Source organism: Homo sapiens, chromosome 10 (genome assembly GCF_000001405.40).
Source record: "Homo sapiens chromosome 10, GRCh38.p14 Primary Assembly".
Classification (NCBI taxonomy): domain Eukaryota; kingdom Metazoa; phylum Chordata; class Mammalia; order Primates; family Hominidae; genus Homo; species Homo sapiens.
The window spans coordinates 35,291,471-35,310,783 of NC_000010.11; the positions used below are offsets into that span (position 1 = coordinate 35,291,471).

Sequence of the window (19,313 nt, forward strand, 5' to 3'; positions counted from 1 at the left end):
TGTGTCCACATTTTTGCTTTTATGAGTAATGCTGCTACAGCATTTGTGTACGACTTCCTTTTTTTTTTTTTTTTTTTTTGAGACAGAGTCTCACTCTGTAACTCAGGCTGGAGTGCAGTGGCACGATCTCGCTCACTGCTACCTCTACCTCCCGGGTCCTGGTTCAAGCTGTTCTCCTGCCTCAGCCTCCCGAGTAGCTGGCATTACAGGCACGCACCACCATGCCCAGCTAATTTTTGTATTTTTAGTAGACATGGGGTTTCATCATGTTGGCCAGGCTGGTCTTGAACTCCTGACCTCATGATCCACTGGCCTCGGCCTCCCAAAGTGCTGGGATTACAGGCATGAGCCACCGTGCCCAGCTTGTGTATGACTTTTTGTGTGGACTAAGATTTTATTTCTCTTGGGCATATATCTAGGAATAGAATTGCTGGGCCATACATATGATAACCCTATGTTTAACCTTTTGAGAAATTACCAAACTGCTTTCCAAAGAGATTGCAACATGTTACATTCCCACCAGTAGCGTAGTGGGGTTCCAGTTTCTTCATATATTTGCCACCTTATCTTTTGGATTGCAGCAATCCTAGTGGGCGTGAAGTGCCACCTCATTGTGGATTTGGTTTGCATCTCCTTGACAGCTAACGGTGTTGCATCTTTTCATGGTTTATTGGCCATTTATACATCTTTTTTGGAGAAATTCAAAATTTTTGCCCATTTTTACTTGGATGGTTTGTCTTTTCATTATTGAGTTATAAGAGTTCTTTATATATTCTATATACAAGCCCCTTACCCAAGAAATGATTTGGGATTTTTCTCCCTATTTTGTGGGTTGTTTTTTAATTTTCTTGATGGTATCTTTTGAAGAACAATAGTTTTTAATTTTTAATTTTTTTATTTTTATGTTTTGAAGACAGAGTTTCACTCTTGTCGCCCAGGCTGGAGTGCAGTGGCACGATCTCGGCTCACTGCAACCTGCACCTCCTGGGTTCAAGCAATTCTGCCTCAGCCTCCCGAGTAGCTGGGATTACAGGCGTGCACTACCGTGCCTGGCTAACTTTTGTATTATTAGTAGAGACAGGGTTTCGCCATGTTGGTCAGGCTGGTCTCAAACTCCTGACCTCAGGTGATCCACCCTCCTCAGCCTCCCAAAGTGTTGGGATTACAAAGCCTGAGCCACCGTGCCCTGCCAATAGTTTTGAATTTTTATGGCGTCCAGTTTATCTTTTTTTTCTTTCATTGCCTCTGCTTTCAGCATCGTATCTAAGAAACCAGTGCCTAATGTTATCCTGTAAGAGTGCTTTGTTTTTGTTTTTTTTTTTTTTTTTTTTGGAGACGAAGTCTTGTTCTTGTCTGCCAGGCTGGAGTGCGATGGAGCGATCTTGGCTAACTGCAGTCTCCTGGGTTCAAGCAATTCTCCTGCCTCAGCCTCCTGAGTAGCTGGGATTACAGACACCTGTTACCACGCCTAGCTAATTTTTGTATTTTTATTAAAGACAGGGTTTCACCATGTTGGCCAGGCTGGTCTCAAACTCCTGACCTCAGGTGATCCACCCGCCTTGGCCTCCCAAAGTGCTGAGATTACAGGTGTGAGCCACCGTGCCCGGCCTGTTATCCTCTAAGAGTTTTATAGTTTTAGCTCTTACCCGTAAGTCCTTAATCTATTTGGGTTTAATTTTTGTATATGGAGTGAAGTAGAAAATCCAACTTCATTTTTGTGCATATGAATATCAGTTGTCCCAGCACCATTTGTTGAGAAAACTATTCTTTCCCCCATTGAGTTGTCTTGACACCCTTGTCAAAAATCAAGTCATCATAAATGTGAAAGTTTATTTCTGAACTCTCAGGACAGTAAGGTTCATTATGCCAAAACCATACTGTCTTGATTACTTAGCTTTCTAGATAGTTTTGAAATTGGGAGGAGTGAGTCTGTCAATTTTGTTCTTGTTTTTCCAGATCATTTTAGCTAATTCTAGATCCCTTGAATTTCTAGATGAATTTTAGGATCAGGTTGCCAGTTTCTGCAAAGAAGTTAGCTGGAATTTTGGTAATGAATGCACTGAATCTGTAGGTCAACTTGGGGGTACTGCCATCTAAACAATATTAAACCTTCCAGTCTGTGGACATGGGATGTTATCCCATTTACTTAGATCATCTTTAATTTTTTTCAAAAATGTTTTATAGTTTTCAAAATACAAGTTTTGCACTTTGTTAAATTTATTCCTTAGTATCACTTTTTCTTGAGCTATTATAAATGGAATTGTCTTCTAAGTTTCATTTTCAGATTGATCACTAAAAATGTACAGACATACAATTGATTTTTTTTTTTTTTTTTTGAGACACAGAGTCTCACTCTGTCACCCAGGCTGGAGTGCAGTGGCATGATCTCAGCTCACTGCAACCTCTGCCTCCTGGGTTCAAGTGATTCTTCTGCCTCAGCCTCCCGAGTAGCTGAGATTACAGTCACCTGCCACCACACTCGGCTACTTTTTGTATTTTAGTAGAGACAGGCTTTCACCATGTTGGTCAGGCTGGTCTCGAACTCCTGACCTCAAATGATCTGCCCATCCCAGCCTGCCAAAGTGTTTGGATTACAGGCGTGAGCCACTGCGTCTGGCACAATTGATATTTGTATGTTGATCTTTTATCCTGAAACTTTACAGAACTCATAGCTTAGTTTTAAGGCTTTTTAAATTAAGCTCCTTAGGATATTCTAGATACAAGATCATTGCATTTGCTAATAGAAATAATTTTATTTCTTCCTTTCCAATCTGGATGTTTTTATTTCTTATAATTATCCTGGTTAGAACCTCTAGTATAATATTGAATAGAAGTGATGAGAGCAGATATCTTTGTCTTATTCCTGATCTGAGAGTGAAAATATTCAGTCTTTTACCATTAAGTGTAATGTTAACTGTAGGTTTTTCATAAATGTCATTTATCAGGTTGAGAAAGTTCCTTTCTGTTCCTAGTTTGTTGAATGTTTTTATTATGAAAGATTGTTACATTTCATCAAATGCTTTTTTTCTACAGCTATTGAGATAATCTTGTGTTTTTTTGTCCTTTATTCTATTGGTATCATGTATTACATTAATTGATCTTCAGATGTTAAACCACCTTTGCATTTCTGGGATAAATCCCACTTGGCCATGAGGCATAAATCTTTTTATATGTGGCTGGTTTCACTTTTCTAGTATTTTGTTCAGGATGTTTACATCTATACTCCACAGATGTTTTCTAGTGCTATTCTTGTTGGGGTTTAGTATGAGGGAAATACTGGCATAATAGAATGATTTGGGAAGCATTTTATACCCTTTTATTTTTGGAAGAGTTGGTGAAGAATTGGTATTAATTACTATTTAAGTGTTTGGTAGAATTCACAAGTGAAGTTACCTGGGCCTAGAATTTTCATCGTGGTAGTTTTCTGATGATTAATTTAATCTCTTTGTTATAGATTTATTTAAATTGTCCCTTTCTTCTTGAGCCAGTTGCAGTAGTTGTGGCTTTTTAGCCATCTGTCTATCTCATCTAAGCTATTTAACTTTTAGCCAGCTGGGACCTGTAGTCCCAGCTACTTGGGAGGCTGAGGCAGATGGATTGCTTGAGCCTTGAAGGCAGAGGCTGCAGTGAGCTGAGATTGCACCACTGCACTCCAGCCTGGGCAACAGTGAGACCCTGTCTCCAAAAATAAATAAATAAATAAAAGTTATCTAATTTGTTGGCATACAGATATTGATAAATAAGTTATCCCCTATAATACTTTTTTTTTTTTCTTTTTGAGATGGAGTTTTGCTCTTGTTGCCCAGGCTGGAGTGCAATGGTGTGATCTTGGCTCACCACAACCTCTGCCTCCCGGGTTCAAGCGATTCTCCTGCCTCAGCCTCCCGAGTAGCTGGGATTACAGGCATGTGCCACCACGCCTGGCTAATTTTGTATTTTTTAGCAGAGACAGGGTTTCTCCATGTTGGTCAGGCTGGTCTTGAACTCCGAACCTCAGGTGATCCGCCCGTTTCTGCCTCCCAAAGTGCTGGGATTACAGGCTTGAGCCACCGCCCCCAGCCTCATCATTACAAACAGAAACTCTATACCCATTAATCAACAAATCACCATTTTACCCTACCCCAGCCCCTGATAACCTCTATTCTACTTTATGTCTTTATGAATATTCATAAAATACTTGTCATTTTGTGTCTGGCTTATTTCTCTTAGCTTAATCTTTTCAAAGTTCTCTTAATCTTTTCAAAGTACAAATATTGTACTCATACAATATTTGTCCTTTTGTGTCTGGCTTATTTCACTTAGCTTAATCTTTTCAAAGTTCATCCATATCATATCACGTGTCAAAACTTCATTTCTTTTTAAGGCTGAATAATATTCCACTGTATATACAAACTACATTTTGTTTATCCATTCCTCTGTTGATAGATATTTGGGTTGTTCTGCTCCTGAATGACTTTTGGGTAAATAATGAAATTGAGGCAGAAATCAAGAAATATTTGAAACTAATGAGAACAAAGATACAGCATATCAGACTCTCCAGGGACATAGCTAAGGCAGTGTTGAGGGAAGTTTATATTAATAGCACTAAACGTCCACATCAAAAAGTTAGATCTCAAATTAAGAACCTAATATCACAACTAGAGGAACTAGACAAGCAACAGCAAACCAAACCCAAATCTAGCAGAAGACCAGAAATAACCCAAATCAGAGCTGAATTGAAGGAAATTGAGAAGCAAAAAACTATACAAAAGGTCAATGAACCCAGGAATTGTTTCTTTGGAAAAGTTAGTAAGATAGACCACTAGCTAGACTAATAAAGAAAAAAGAGTTTGGGAGGGGTGGCTCACGCCTGTAATTTCAGGACTTTGGGAGGCCGAGGCAGGTGGATCACTTGCAGCCAGGAGTTTGAGACCAGCCAGGCCAAAATGGAGAAACCCCATGTCGACTAAAAAATACAAAAATTAGTTGTGTGTGGTGGCGCATACCTGTAATCCCAGTTACTTGGGAGGTTGAGACAGGAGAATTGCTTGAATCCGGGAGGCAGAGGTTGCAGTGAGCCAAGATCACGTCACAGCACTCCGGCCTGGGCCTCAGGGTGAGACTCTGTCAGAAAAAAAAGAAAAAAGAAAAAAGAGAGAAGAACCAAATATACACAATTAGAAATGAGAAAGATGAAATTACCACCATCTGCACAGAAATACAAAAACCCTATGCACACAAACTAGAAAATCTAGAAGAAATGGATAAATTCCTGGACACATACCACCTCCCAAGATTGAACTAGGAAGAAATTGCATCCCTGAACAGACTAATAATGAGTTCTGAAATTGAAGCAGTAATAAAAAGCCTACCAACCAAGAAAAGCCCAGGACCAGATGGATTCACAGCTGAATTCTACCAGATGTATAAAGAAGAGCTGGTAGCATTCCTACTGAAACTATTCCAAAAATTGAGGGGAGGGTCTCCTCTCCAACTCATTTTATGAGGCCAGTGTCATCCTGATACCAAAACCTGGCAAAACACAACAACAAAAAAATCTTCAGGTCAATATCCTTGATGAACATGGATGCAAAAATCCTTAACAAAACACTGGCAAACTGAATCCAGTAGCACATCAAAAAGCGAATCCACCGTGATTGAGTAGACTTTACCCCTGGGATGCAAGGCTAGTTCAATACACAAATAAAAAAAGAAAAAATATATACAAATTAAAAAAAAAAGATTGGTTCAACACACGGAAATCAATAAATGTGATTCGTCACATAAACAGAACTAAAAACAAAAAGCATAATGATCTCAATAGATGCAGAAAGGCTTTTGATAAAATTCAACATCGCTTCATGTTAAAAACTCTCAATAAACAAGGCATTGAAGGAATATACGTCAAAATAATAAGAGCTATCTATGACAAACCCACAGCCAACATCATACTGACTGGGTAAAAGCTGGAAGCATTCCCCTTGAAAACTGCCACAAGACAAGGAACCACTCCTATTCAATATAGTACTGGAAGTCCTGGCCAGAGCAATGAGGCAGGAGGAAGAAATAAAAGGCATCCAAATAGGAAGAGAGGAAGTCAAACTATCCCTGTTTACAGATGATATGATTCTATATCTAGAAAACCCCATAGTCTCTGCCCTAAAACTCCTTGATCTGGTAACTTCAGCAAAGTTTCAGGATACAAAATTAACGTACAAAAATCAATAGCATTCCTAAACACCAACAACATCCAAGCTGAGAGCCAAATCAGGAATGCAATCCCATTCACAATTGCCACAAAAAGAAAAAAATACCTAAGAATACAGCTAACCAGCGAGGTGAAAGATCTCTACAAGAAGAATTACAAAACACTGCTCAAGGAAATCAGAGATGACTCAAACAAATGGAAAAAACATTCCATGTTTGTGGATAGGAAGAATCAATATCATTATAACGGCCATACTGCCCAAAGCAACTTACATATTTAACATCACTCCTATCAAACTACCAATGACATTCTTCATGGAGCTAGAAAAAACTATTTAGAAGTTCTTATGAAAAAAAAAAAAAGAGCCTGAATAGCCAAGGGAATTCTAAGCAAAAAGAACAAAGCTGGAGGCATCATATTACTCAACTTCAAACTATACTACAGGGCTACAGTAACCAAAACAGCATGGTACTGGTACAAAAGCAGACACATAGACCAATGGAACAGAAATTTGTTGAAGTGTAATTAACGTAAAATAAGCACACCCATTTTAGGTGCACCTTTCAATGAGTTTTCACAAATATAATCTCACCATATTCAAGATATAGAACATTTCCATCATCCCCCAAAGTTCCTTCATATCTCCTTGCAACAATCCCAACCCAACTCTTGGCACCAGGGAATGACTGATTTGCTTTGTGTCACTATTGATTAGTTTTACATTTTCTAGAATTTTCTATAAATGTAATCATAACAATATACTCTTTATGTCTGGCCTTTCAGCATGTTTCAGGGATTTATCAATGTTGTATGTGTTAGTACTTTGCTCATTTGTATTGTTGAGTATTATTCCATTCTTTTCTTTTTTAAAAAACAGAGACAGGGTCTTGCTCTGTTTCTCAGGCTGGAGTACAGTGGCACAATCATGGCTCACTGCAGCTTCAAACTCCTGGGCTCAGGCACTCTTCCTTGCCTCAGCCGCCTGAGTAGCTAGGACTACAAGTGAGGGCCACCACGTCTGGCTAATTTTTTTTATTTAATTTTTTGCGGAGACAGGGTTTCACTATGTTGCTCAGGTTGGTCTCAAACTCCTGGCTTCATGTGGTGCTGCACTTCAGTCTCTCAAAGTGCTGAGATTACAGGCATGAGCCATTGCACCTGGCCTTGTTGTTGTTGTTTTTTTGTAACTGTAGTTAGTTTATCAAGTTATCTATTGATGAATATTTGGTTGGTTGTTTCCAGTTTTTGAAAATTATAAAGATGATTAAAATCATTTATGTGTATGTTTTGTATGAGCATATGTTTTCATTCTTCTTAGGTAAATACCAAGAAGTGCAATTGTTTATATGTTTGACTTCATTATTTAAAAAAACTGACAACTGTTTTCAAAGTGATTGTAACATTTCACATTCTTACCAGCAGTGTAGAAGAGTTCCAGTTTCAGTTACTGATTTCTAATTAAATTGCATTTTGTTGGAGAAGCCCGGTATGTGATTTCAATCCTGCTGGATTTATTGAGACTAGTTTCATGGCCCAGCATATGATGAACGTTCCATCTGCACTGAAAACACTGTTTAGTCTGCCATTGCAGGGTGGAGCGTTCTGTAAAAGTTAATTGGATCCAGTTAGTTGATAGTGCTGTTCAAGTCTTCTGTATTCATACCAGTTTTCTGTCTGCTATTTCTATCAATACAAGAGAAGGTGGTGAAATATGCAACTTAAATTATGGATTTGTCTTTTTCCCCTTTCAAATTCTGTCAGTTTTCGCTTCAAGTCTTTTGAAGTTCTACAACTGGGTGCATTCACATTTAGGAATGTTATTTTTTCTTAGTGACTTGATAGTTTATCATTGTGAAATGTCCCTCCTTATGTCTGGTAATATTTCTTGTCCTAAAGTGTGTTTTGCCAGAAATGGATACAGTCAATCCACCTTTCTTATGTCTCATGTTTACCTTTTTTCATCCTTTTACTTTTAACATTCTTGTGTCTGTATAAAGTGGATTTCTTGTAGACACCAGAGAGTCAGACCTTACTTTATTACCCAATTGGATAATCTTTGATTTATAATTGGAATGCTTAATTCATATACATTTAGTATAATTACTGATACGGTTAGGTTTAAATCTACTGTCTTGCTGTTTGTTTTCTATTTATACCATATGTTTTTATTTTTTTCTTCTTTTCCTGCCTTTTTGGATTAGTTGAGTATTTTTCAGTATTTCATTTTATATTCTCCATTGGTGAATAACACTCCTTTTTTAAAAACAATTGTTGCTGTAGGTTTACAGAATACATCTTCAGTTTATCAGTGTACCTTCAAATAATATGATGCCACTCCTACAATCACGTAAGTTTTCAGAACAGTATCCTTTCGAGGTCTTTAGGCTTTGTCTTTTCAGAACCTGAACATCTCTCAGATCTCTGGGGACTGCTCCTCTTACAGTTTCCTAGTAGATGCTCTTTGCTTGGCCTCGCAGAGTTTTACGTTGTGCGTGAGCCAAAGATGTAAGAGGGCTCCCATGTGGATTTCGAGCTCTTGCTCTGTCTAGCTTACTCATCTGTGGTACCCCGCCCTGGAAATTCCAGCTGCCCTCCCTCATCCCTACTTCTGCTCTGTCTCATCAAAGCAGCAAGGCTGCCACGCCCTGCCTGAGATGCCACGCCCTGCCTGAGTTCCCCTCCTGTATCACAATCTGCAAAGCAGCTTCAGAAAGAAAGCTGGGGTGATCGTGGGTCTTGCCTTGTTTCACTTCTCTCGGGGGTTACAGTTCTGCTTTGTCTGTTGTTCAGAGTCTGAAACAATTGTTTCATATATCTTCTCTAGCGTCCTGCTGTTTATTGCAGTAGGGCAAGTCCAGTACCAGTTACTGCTTCATGGCCAGAAGCAGTAGTCTTGTCTCATATTTGTTTTTCTTAGATCTTTATTTTTGCATTCGCTTATACAATTTATTTTTTATGTATCATTGCCACATGGTTCATTAAAAATCTATGTTTATTTTCTGCTTAACAACTGCTTTACTCAGTGGGTTACATGTGCTTGCAGACATACTGCTTAGAGCATTTTCAAAGTAAATATGCTGTTTGTTAAGACTTCTAATGTAAGCTCTATTATTTATTCAAGCTAGTATTCTAATATTCATTCCATTATTATTATTATTATTTTTGAGATGGAGTTTTGCTCTTGTCACCCAGGCTGGAGTGCAGTGGTGCAATCTCAACTCACTGCAACCTCTGCCTCCCAGGTTCAAGTGATTCTCCTGCCTCAGCCTCCCAAGTAGCTGGGATTACAGGCGGCCACCACCATGCCTGGCTAATTTGTTTTATATTTTTAGTAGAGACGAGGTTTCACCATGTTGGCCAGGTTGGTCTCAAACTCCTGACCTCAAGTGATCCGCCCGCTTCGGCCTCCTAAAGTGCTGGGATTATAGGGGTGAGCCACTGTGCCCGACTATTATACCCATTTAAATAGGAGAAAAGATGCTTTAGAGAGATCACACAAGGATTCAAACTCAGATAATCTGGCACCAGGGCTGAGATCTTAACTACAACATATATTAGCTTTCGGAGCTATTTTTGCCTAAATACAAGCATAATATTCCTTGTTTAACAAATATATGGCCAATGTGTGTAGACATGATGGAAGGTCCAGTTTTGAATATGGGTTGAAATGTGTTATCTATTTCCATTAACACTAGAAAGAGTTGTCTGAGAGACAGTGTGAAGACTTTCCTGGAAATGTTTCATAATAGAATTGTTTATATCCTACCTAGGAGAGTGAAGGTAAAATGAAGTCACTTCACTTCCATGTAGTCCATGGCAAACTGTGATAATCAATTTGCAGATGTTCTTGGCTGTATAGAGCTTTTATGCACGGTATTTCTCTTACTCCCTGAACACATGGGATATTTGAGCCTGACAAATTAGCAGTCTTTTCTTATTTTTTTTATTGGAAGCCTGTTTTCATCGCTGTCTTTTGTTTTGCTTTGTTTTGAGACAGGGTCTCACTGTCACCCAGGCCTGGAGAGCAGTGGCATGATCACGGCTCACAGAAGACTTGATCTCCCTGGGCGCAAGTGATCCTCCTGCCTCAGCCTCCTGAGTAGCTGGGACAGGTCTACAGGTGCATGCCACCATGCCTAGCTAATTTTTGTATTTTTTGTAGACATAGTCTCAATATGTTGCCCAGGCTGGTTTCAAACTCCTGGGCTCAAGCGATCTGCCCGCCTCGGCCTCCCAAAATGCTAGGATTACAGGTGTGAGTCACCCCGCCCAGCCTTCATTGTTATTTTTTATTTTATTTATTTATTTATTTATTTATTTTTTGAGGCGGAGTTTTGCTCTTATCGTCCAGGCTGGAGTGCAATGGCGTGATCTCGGCTCACTGCAACCTCCGCCTCCCAGGTTCAAGCGATTCTCTGCCTCAGCCTCTTGAGTAGCTGGGACTACAGGCACACGCCACCACGCCTGGCTAATTTTTGTGTTTTTAGTAGAGATGGGGTTTTGCCATGTTGGCCAGGATGGTCTCGATCTCCTGACCTCATGACCCACCTGCCTCGGCCTCCCAGAGTGCTGGGATTACAGGTGTAAGCCACCACGCCCATCCTCATTGCTATTTTTCTATCAAAACAGCAGGTTAATACTTTGACATCTTAATTTTTTTTTTTTTTTTTTGAGACAGAGTCTTGCTCTGTCACCCAGGCTGGAGTGCAGTGGCGCGATCTCGGCTCACTGCAACCTCCGTCTCCTGGGTTCAAGTGATTCTCCTGTCTCAGCCTCCTGAGGAGCTGGCACTGCAGGCATGCACCACCATGCCTGGCTAATTTTTGTATTTTTGGTAGAGACGGGGTTTCTCCATGTTGGCCAGGCTGGTCTCGAACTCCTGACCTCAGGCGATCCACTTGCCTCAGCCTCCCAAAGTGCTGGGATTATAGGCATGAGCCACTGCGCCCGCCCCGACATGTTAATATTTTAAGATGAAGAACAAAACAGCCAACCTAAGAAAAACAACTAGCAGGCACCCAAGGGCATCTCAGGATGAAAAATCTGTGGCTGAACAATTCAATCTACATCATAGCCACTGAGAACAATATTAATTTCTCAATTAGTAGCAAGAGCAGAGAGATCATGAACACATAAGGCTGAGTAGAAAATTGCTAAAACATTTTGAGACATGCTAGCCTAAAAGCTTCTTGTTAGTATGGCATGCTTATTCAGTATAACCAAAACAATATTTATTAGAAATTATAAAGGTAAGGAGGCTGGGCACGGTGGCTCATGCCTGTAATCCCAGCACTTTGAGAAGCCGAGGCAGGAAGATTGCTTGAGGTCAGGAATTCCAGACCAGCTTGGGAAACATAGTGAGACCCTGTCTCTACAAAAATAAAAATAAAAATAATTACCTGGGATGTGTAGTCTCAGCTATTTGGGAGGCTGAGGCAGGAAGATCACTTGAGCCCAGGGATTCCAGGCTGCAGTGAGCCATGACTGCACCACTGCACTCCAGCATGGGTGACAGAGTAAGATCCTGTTTCTTTTTTTTTGAGACTGAGTTTCACTCTTGTTGCCCAGGCTGGAGTGCAATGGCATGACCTCGGCTCACCGCAACCTCCACCTCCTGGGTTCAAGCAATTCTCCTGCCTCAGCCTCCCGAGTAGCTGGGATTACAGGCATGCACCATGACGCCTGGCTAATTTTGTATTTTCAGTAGAGACGGGGTTTCTCCATGTTGATCAGGTTGGTCTTGAACTCTCGACCTCAGGTGATCCTCCCGCCTCAGCCTCCCAGAGTGCTAGGATTACAGGCGAAAGACCATGTTTCTTAAAAAGAAAGAGGAAAGAAGCCCAGGCATGGTGGCTCGTGCCTGTAATCCCAGCACTTTGGGAGGCCGAGGTGGGCAGATCACCTGAGGTCGGGAGTTCGAGACCAGCCTGACCAACATGGAGAAACCCCATCTCTACTAAAAATACAAAATTAGCTGGATGTAGTGGTGCATGCCTGTAATCCCAGCTACTCAGGAGGCTGAGGCAGGAGAATCCCTTGGACCTGGGAGGCGGAGGTTGCGGTGAGCCGAGATCGTACCATTGCACTCCAGCCTGGGCGACAACAGCGAAACTCCGTCTCAAAAAAAAAAAAAAAAAAAAAAAGAGGGAAGGAAGGAAGGAAGGAAAGAAGGAAGGAAGGAAAGAAAGAAAGGTAGATCTATGTCAAATAGAAAAAAACCTAGTCTTTCAAATTTTCCTAATAGATTAAAAGACAAACAAGAGCACAGATTACGATGTGGGGAAAACACTAAGATCCACCACTCTTTATCCACCCATCACAGTCAGCCTGGAATTAGAGCTAATTAGGAAGAAAGGAAAGACCATTCCTGATACCTGCTGGGTGCTAGCCACATGCTCCAGTTTCTCCGTCTCCTGCACCCGTGAATGGGCTTCTGGAAAGCACCAACCCCTCTTCGTCTTTCAGTAGCTTTGCACCTCCTGCACATGGGGGAGCTCAGCATAGGTTTGCTCAGTTCAGGTGACAGGTAGGTTAGAAATGGATTGGGAAAGGTGTTGAAAGTAAGGCTGAGGAGGTTACAATTTATAATCTAATAAGAGCCGTTGTAAGATCTTGAAAAGGCTTTTTTCTCCTTTTATTTTTTTTTTTTTTTTATTTTTTATTTTTTTTTGAGACGGAGTCTCGCTCTGTCGCCCAGGCTGGAGTGCAGTGGCGGGATCTCGGCTCACTGCAAGCTCCGCCTCCCGGGTTCACGCCATTCTCCTGCCTCAGCCTCCCAAGTAGCTGGGACTACAGGCGCCCGCCACTACGCCCGGCTAATTTTTTTGTATTTTTAGTAGAGACGGGGTTTCACCGTTTTAGCCGGGATGGTCTCGATCTCTTGACCTCGTGATCCGCCCGCCTCGGCCTCCCAAAGTGCTGGGATTACAGGCGTGAGCCACCGCTCCCGGCCTTTTTTCTCCTTTTAATTAAAAGTGGTTTGGTTAGCATATTGCAGGTTTTCTCAGCCACAGTACTATTGGCATGTGGAGCTAGATCATTTTTGTTTTGGGGGGCTGTCCTGTGCCTTGTAGGATGTTTAGCAGAATCCCTAGCCTCTACCCACTACATGCCAGTGGCATCCCCTAGTTGCAACAACCAAAAATGTCTCCTGGGGGCATAATTGCCCAGGTTGAGAACCACTAGGGTGTTAGGGGGAGTGCTGAGCCTCAAGGCAGGGGAGATCAGAGGAAGAAGAGCCAAAAAACGTGGGTGGATGGAAGAGACACTAATTCAAGTGTGGTCTAAGAGTAGTGATTCTCATCACTGTTGCCGTGTTGCACAGTATTTAGGAGCCTAATATACAAGTGTCATGTAGTATTGAACTAAAAATCCACAGGAACAATTCATGAGGCATTCCCGTTTGTTTCTTTTGGAAAAATATAAAATCTGACATTGCTTGGAGAAAACCGGAGACAGACTTGTCAGGAAAAGGTTATGGCCACGTGTCCTTTTGCCCGAAGACATTTATCCTTTACGTAACTGGCAATACCAAAAGTAAGCGTGCTTTTTAATGAAAATTGTCATTTTATGGTTACAAAGCTTTCGGTTTATTGTACAAGAGAAAAATTTCCTACAGTTAATGCTCTAATTCCCCCCTGCTAAGGAGTAAATTGTAAAAATACATGCTGTTACTCTTTGAAATGTGGAGTGATGTTCCTTCAAGTCTAGAGGATGCTGCATGAAATCAGCTTCAAGACAGGCTTGAGGTGACAAGAACATGAAATATATATTACATGCAAACACTTTGGTTTTGGAAATCTGCATGTTTATTCCAATGGCATCAGCTGATACTGTGTTCACTGTAACCTAGTAATGTCACAGCAGCATCTGGGGGCATATAATTGTGTCAGAGCTGCTGTTTACCCAGTTAAATGAGACAGAGATTAGGTAAGGTTTGTGCTACTTATCGTTCATTGCCATGGCTTCATCTTCCTAATCCTCCTTATTTTTACCCCTGCAAGAAAGAACAGTTCTAATATCTTCTTGTTTCTGAGTATTGATGATTGGGTTATGTGGATACTTCTGGGTAGATGTCCATTTGGAAAAGATGCTTGCTGAGTGCCCTTTGTACTGACAATGGTGGAAGAAATTTCCTGATTGGGATCTGGCTCTTGATATATGATCCTTAGAGGTAATGTCCCTGTGGATGGTGCTGCCAGTCTGACCCCTTGTAAGACTTCACAGATATGCTTGGGATCATTAGAGTGGGTTTCATTTCTATCACAGAAGGAGTTGATATAAGGTGCAGGAAATCTACTCCTATTTTCCAAAGTTAGTTTCCAGTACAGTAACACATCCTGTGTAATTTTTTACTTAAAATTCATGTTTCATATGCCATTTTTTTTCTTTATGAGAGACAGAGTCTCACTCTGTTGCCCAGCCTGGAGTGCAGTGGTGCAATCTCGGCTCACTGCAGCCTCTGCCTCTCAGGTTTAAGTGATTCTCCTGCCTCAGCCTCCTGAGTAGCTGGGATTACAGGCACACGCCACTACACCTGGTTAATTTTTGGATTTTTAGTAGAGACAGGGTTTCACCATGTTGGCCAGGTTGGTCTTGAACTCCTGACCTCAAGTGATCCACCTGCCTCAGCCTCCCAAAGTGCTGGGATTACAGGCGTGAGCCACCATACCTGGCCAACCATCTTGGATTTGTCATTCAGCACAGCATGGAAGTTGGCGCCAGGCATCTTGCTTCTTTGTACAATATTTCCATTTCCTGAGATCATGCCACTTGAGGGAGGCCTGCCTGGGTTTCCACCAGCTCCTTCCCTGGCTTTCGGTCCATTCCAGCTTCTCCGAACAGAACTCTGTCCCTGCTTGGGGGACCAAGAAGGCACAAGGGCAAACCCACACATGAATGAAGTTTGTGGGTCATTTAGCATGAAGCAAGCATCATGGCAGAAGCTGTTTGGGAAGAGCTGGTCTTTCTGGTACTCCCCGGTCTGTTCACTGTCCTCACCCCTTCTCCCACATGCCCTCTCCCCTTCTCCCACATGCCCTCTCCCCTCCTTCTCCTTTTCTTTCTTTCCTCCTTCATTTTCTACATGACATAACAACCTTCAGGTAGCAAAACATCTGCTAGGAGTCATCCTGGCTTTTGTGTGTAAATCTGGTTTTTAGGACGCTCTTTAAAGAAAGTTTTATCTTAGGGGGCCAGGAGGATGGCAGGAGTGCTGTCAAATAGCCTCAGAGCAATATGTCCAGGAGCCCAGGCATCTGCTAGAAAAGCACGTGTAGCTGCAAAGATAAGGGTTTCTATCAGTCAGGGAATCAGTAAGTTCTCTCCTACTCACCTGAGGGCGTGCAGTCCCGCACCCTAGGAAGCAGTACACGGCAACATACCTTGCTGCTGGGCTGGGCTGCAGTGCTTCAGTGCTGCTGCTCACTAACCTTGTGCCCTCGGGTAACACGCTGGCAACCTGGGCCTCTGCTTCCTGATTCATAACTCAGGGATGACGACAGCAAGCTCCCTCATCAGGCTGTGGTGCGGGTTAAGCGAGTTTATAAATTGAAAATGCTAGCTCATAGTCCACATTCAAGAAATGTCAGCTGTAATAATATCATTATCCTTGTCCTCAAGGAACTTGAAAACTAGTTAGACAGATGGAACATCTGTGAAAGAATTACAAAAAAGAGTCAGCCCAGGTGTGGCGGCTCACGCGCATAAACGCCATGGAGTTTAAAGAAGAATGAAATGTTTCAGCATCTGAGCTATCAGATAATGTTAGCAGAGGACGGAGATTATGTTAGAGCTTGCAAGTTGTTAAGCCAACAAACATTAAGCACCTATTCCTGTGACTCACTCACCCAACTGGGTGTTTGCCATATGACTCTGATTTTGCCAATCACGTTTTGCTAATCCTAAAACGAGGCACAATTCAGATCTTTATGCTAGGTACTGGGCTAAATAACCTTCCATGCATGATGCCATTTTCATCCTTTCAACAACCCCGAAATAAGGTTATATGTATATATATATATACGTGTATATCTACACGTGTATATATGTATATATATACACACACACATATATGTATATATATACATATTGATGTGTATATATGTGTGTGTGTGTGTGTGTGTGTGTGTGTGTGTGTGTGTGTATATATATATATATATATTTTTTTTTTTTTTTCTGAGATGGAGTCTTGCTCTGCTGCCCAGGCTGGAATGCAATGGCGCAATCTTGGCTCACTGCAACCTCCGCCTCCCGGGTTCAAGTGATTCTCCTGCCTCAGCCTCCTGACTAGCTGGGATTACAGGCGACCACCATCACGTCCAGCTAATTTTTGTATTTTAGTAGACACGGGGTTTCACGATGTTGGGCAGGCTGGTCTGGTACTCCTGACCTCAAGTGATCCACCCGCCTCGGCCTCCCAAAGTGCTGGGATTACAGGCATAAGCCACCGTGCCCGGCCGAGGTAGTAATAATTTTATGGATAAAGAAATTGAGGTTTTGGAGCTGTTAGTTTGTCTAAGATCAAAGCACTAACACATGGCAGAGCTTAGAATGGAGCAGGATCACAGATTGCCTGATGGCAGAGCACGCAAAAGAGGAGGAGGTGGGAGGCTGGGCACAGTGGCTCATGCATGCCTGTGATCCCAGCACTTTGGGAGGCCAAAGTGGGAGGATCGCCTGAGCCCAGGAGTTCAAGACCAGCTTGAGCAACACAGTGAGACTCCATCTCAACTAAAAAGTAAAAAACAGCTGGGCATGGTAATGTGCACCTGTAGTCCTGGCTACTTGGGAGGCTGAGGTGGGAGGATCACTTGAGCCTGAGAGTTTGAGGCTGCAGTGAGTTATGATCCTGTCACTGCACTCCAGCCTGCGTGACAGAGTGAGCCCATGGGGAGGAGGGAAGAGGATGTGTGAGGTGTGACAGTCTGGACAGAGAGGGAGCCTGGAAGAGGTGTGGAGGGCAGGGACCCAATGAAGCCAATATTCTAGTGGGAACAGGGCATCTGTGGGGGAGCCTGAGTGACATATATAATGTGAGACTAATGGGCTACCGGCAGATAAGAGCTCATTTCAGCTTGAGAGAAGGCAGCCAGACAAAAGGAAGTAGCAGCCATGCGGATGTGACCTGGTGAGGGCTCAGAGTCGGGGCAAAAAGAACAAAAAGGAAACAGTGAAGTCTAGGGGACCCCTGGAAGGCAATATTGACAGGTGTCTGTGACAGCTTGGATGACGATGGTCAATTAGAGAGGGAGGGTGAGAGTGATCTCAGAGTCCTTGCCTCAGCAGTCCTGAAAATAGTGATCTTCAACCAGGCCAGGAAAACAGGGAAGGTGGGTGGGAAAGGAGGTGTTGTTTTACACACATTAAGCTTAGGGGAATGTGTGGGAATCTTGTAAACATTTGGACAGACAGAGACTGGGGTATATGGGGGAGTCCAAGCCTGGAGACAAAGATTTGAGAATCAGCCATGCAGAGGGAAAGGCTACATCTGCAAGGCAGTGGCTCACGGCTAAAGTAAGGAAAAGTGGCCACAAAGGGAAAAAGAGTGGTTTGGATGGTTACAGGAAAATCAGGAAAACAGAAACAGTGTCTCAAGGAAGAATGGCCCTCCACATGAGATAGGTCAGCAATCACTCAGGTCCTGTGAGGAAGCACACTCGGACTCAGTGGACTGTGAGGGTGGAGGAATTCCCCACCTGCCTCTGGGTGATGGAGAATCTACCTGGGAGGCTTGTGGATGACAGGTGGAGAGGAAGAGCAGTGGGTTTTTTGTTTTTCTTTTTCAGAGACAGAATCTGGGTGTCACCCGGGCTGAAGTGCAGTGGCACCATCAAAGCTCTCTGCAGCCTCGAACTCCTGGGCTCAAGATACTTCTGCCTCACTCTCCCAAGTAGCTGGGACTGCAGGCACACACCACCATACCCAGCTAATTTTTGAATTTTCTGTAGAGATGAGGTCTCACTATGTTGCTTAGGCTGGTCTCGAACTCCTCGGCTCAAGTGATTCTCCTGTCTCAGCCTCCCAAAGTGATGAGATTGCAGGCATGAGCCACTGTGCCCAACCTCCAAGTCTTTGTTAAAAACTAATTTTTTATTGATACATGATAGTTATACATATTTCTGGAGTACATGTGTTATTTACTTATTTATTTATTTATTTAGAGACAGAGTCTCGCTCTGTCGCCCAGGCTGGAGTGCAGTGGTGCAATCTCCACTCACTTGCAAGCTCCACCTCCCAGGTTCACGCCATTCTCCTGCCTCAGCCTTCCGAGTAGCTGGGACTGCAGACGCCCGCCACCATGCCCAGCTAATTTTTTGTATTTTCAGTAGAGGCAGGGTTTCACCATGTTAGCCAGGATGGTCTCGATCTCCTGACCTTCTGATCCGCCCGCCTCAGCCTCCCAAAGTGCTGGGATTACAGGCACGAGCCACTGCACCCAGCTGGGAACCACCATTCTTTTCTCTAACTCCATGAGATCAACTGTTTCAAGTTTCCTACATATTAGAGAGATCATGTGGTATTTGTCTTTCTGTGCCTGGCTTATTTCATTTCACATAATGTCCTCCAGGTCAACTCATGTTGCTGCAAATGACAGGATTTCATCTTTTATGGCTGAATAATAGTCCATCATGTATATGTACCATATTTTCTTTATCCATTCATTTGCTGATAGGCACTGGGGTTGATATTTTGGCTGTTGTGAATTGTGCTCCAATAAACATACAAGTACAGTACCTCTTTGATATGCGTCTTTCTTTTGGATATATACTAGCAGTGGGCTTGCTAGATCAAAGGTAGTTTTGATTTGTAGTTTTTTGAGGAACTTTCATATGGTTTCCATGGCTGTATTAACTCACATTCTCACCAACAGTGTATATCCCCTTTCCCTGTATCCTCACCAAGATTTGTTATTTTTTGTCTTTTTGACAATAGCCATTGTAACTGGGGTGCAATATCTCACTGTAGTTTTGCTTTGCATTTTGCTGATGATGAGTGATGCTGAGCATTTTTCATACAACTGTTGGTCATTTGTGTGTCTTCTCCAAGCTTTTTTGATTGCTTAGCCTTTGTAGTGTGATTACTTTTTGAGCAGTCTTAATATATGTATAGTTTTAAATTATACATA

At 42.3% G+C, this 19,313-nt stretch overlaps 1 protein-coding gene and 1 long non-coding RNA gene across 2 annotated transcripts in view, besides 3 other annotated features; one reads left to right on the plus strand and one right to left on the minus strand.

Annotated features, from left to right (window-relative positions):
- Positions 1-19,313, plus strand: part of CCNY (cyclin Y) — a 325,643-nt gene that overhangs the window by 44,446 nt on the left and 261,884 nt on the right. The gene's annotated exons all lie outside the window — the stretch shown is intronic.
- Positions 5,075-15,245, minus strand: LOC107984220 (uncharacterized). The gene is made up of 3 exons (XR_007062113.1): positions 14,859-15,245; positions 7,604-7,789; positions 5,075-5,103 (listed from the first exon to the last, which is right to left on the minus strand). It is a non-coding gene; the product is annotated as an uncharacterized LOC107984220 (long non-coding RNA).
- Positions 8,124-9,323: an enhancer, noted in NCBI's record as "P300/CBP strongly-dependent group 1 enhancer chr10:35588522-35589721 (GRCh37/hg19 assembly coordinates)". NCBI's record gives its function as "activates an origin of replication core promoter dependent on BRD2, BRD4, P300/CBP, MED14 and CDK7 cofactors, with strong dependence on P300/CBP, by STARR-seq in HCT116 cells {active_cell/tissue: HCT116}" and the evidence as "EXISTENCE:reporter gene assay evidence [ECO:0000049][PMID:35650434]".
- Positions 9,046-9,095: a silencer, noted in NCBI's record as "silent region_2303". NCBI's record gives its function as "represses an Ori minimal core promoter by ATAC-STARR-seq in GM12878 lymphoblastoid cells {active_cell/tissue: GM12878}" and the evidence as "EXISTENCE:reporter gene assay evidence [ECO:0000049][PMID:35858748]".
- Positions 13,347-13,406: a silencer, noted in NCBI's record as "silent region_2304". NCBI's record gives its function as "represses an Ori minimal core promoter by ATAC-STARR-seq in GM12878 lymphoblastoid cells {active_cell/tissue: GM12878}" and the evidence as "EXISTENCE:reporter gene assay evidence [ECO:0000049][PMID:35858748]".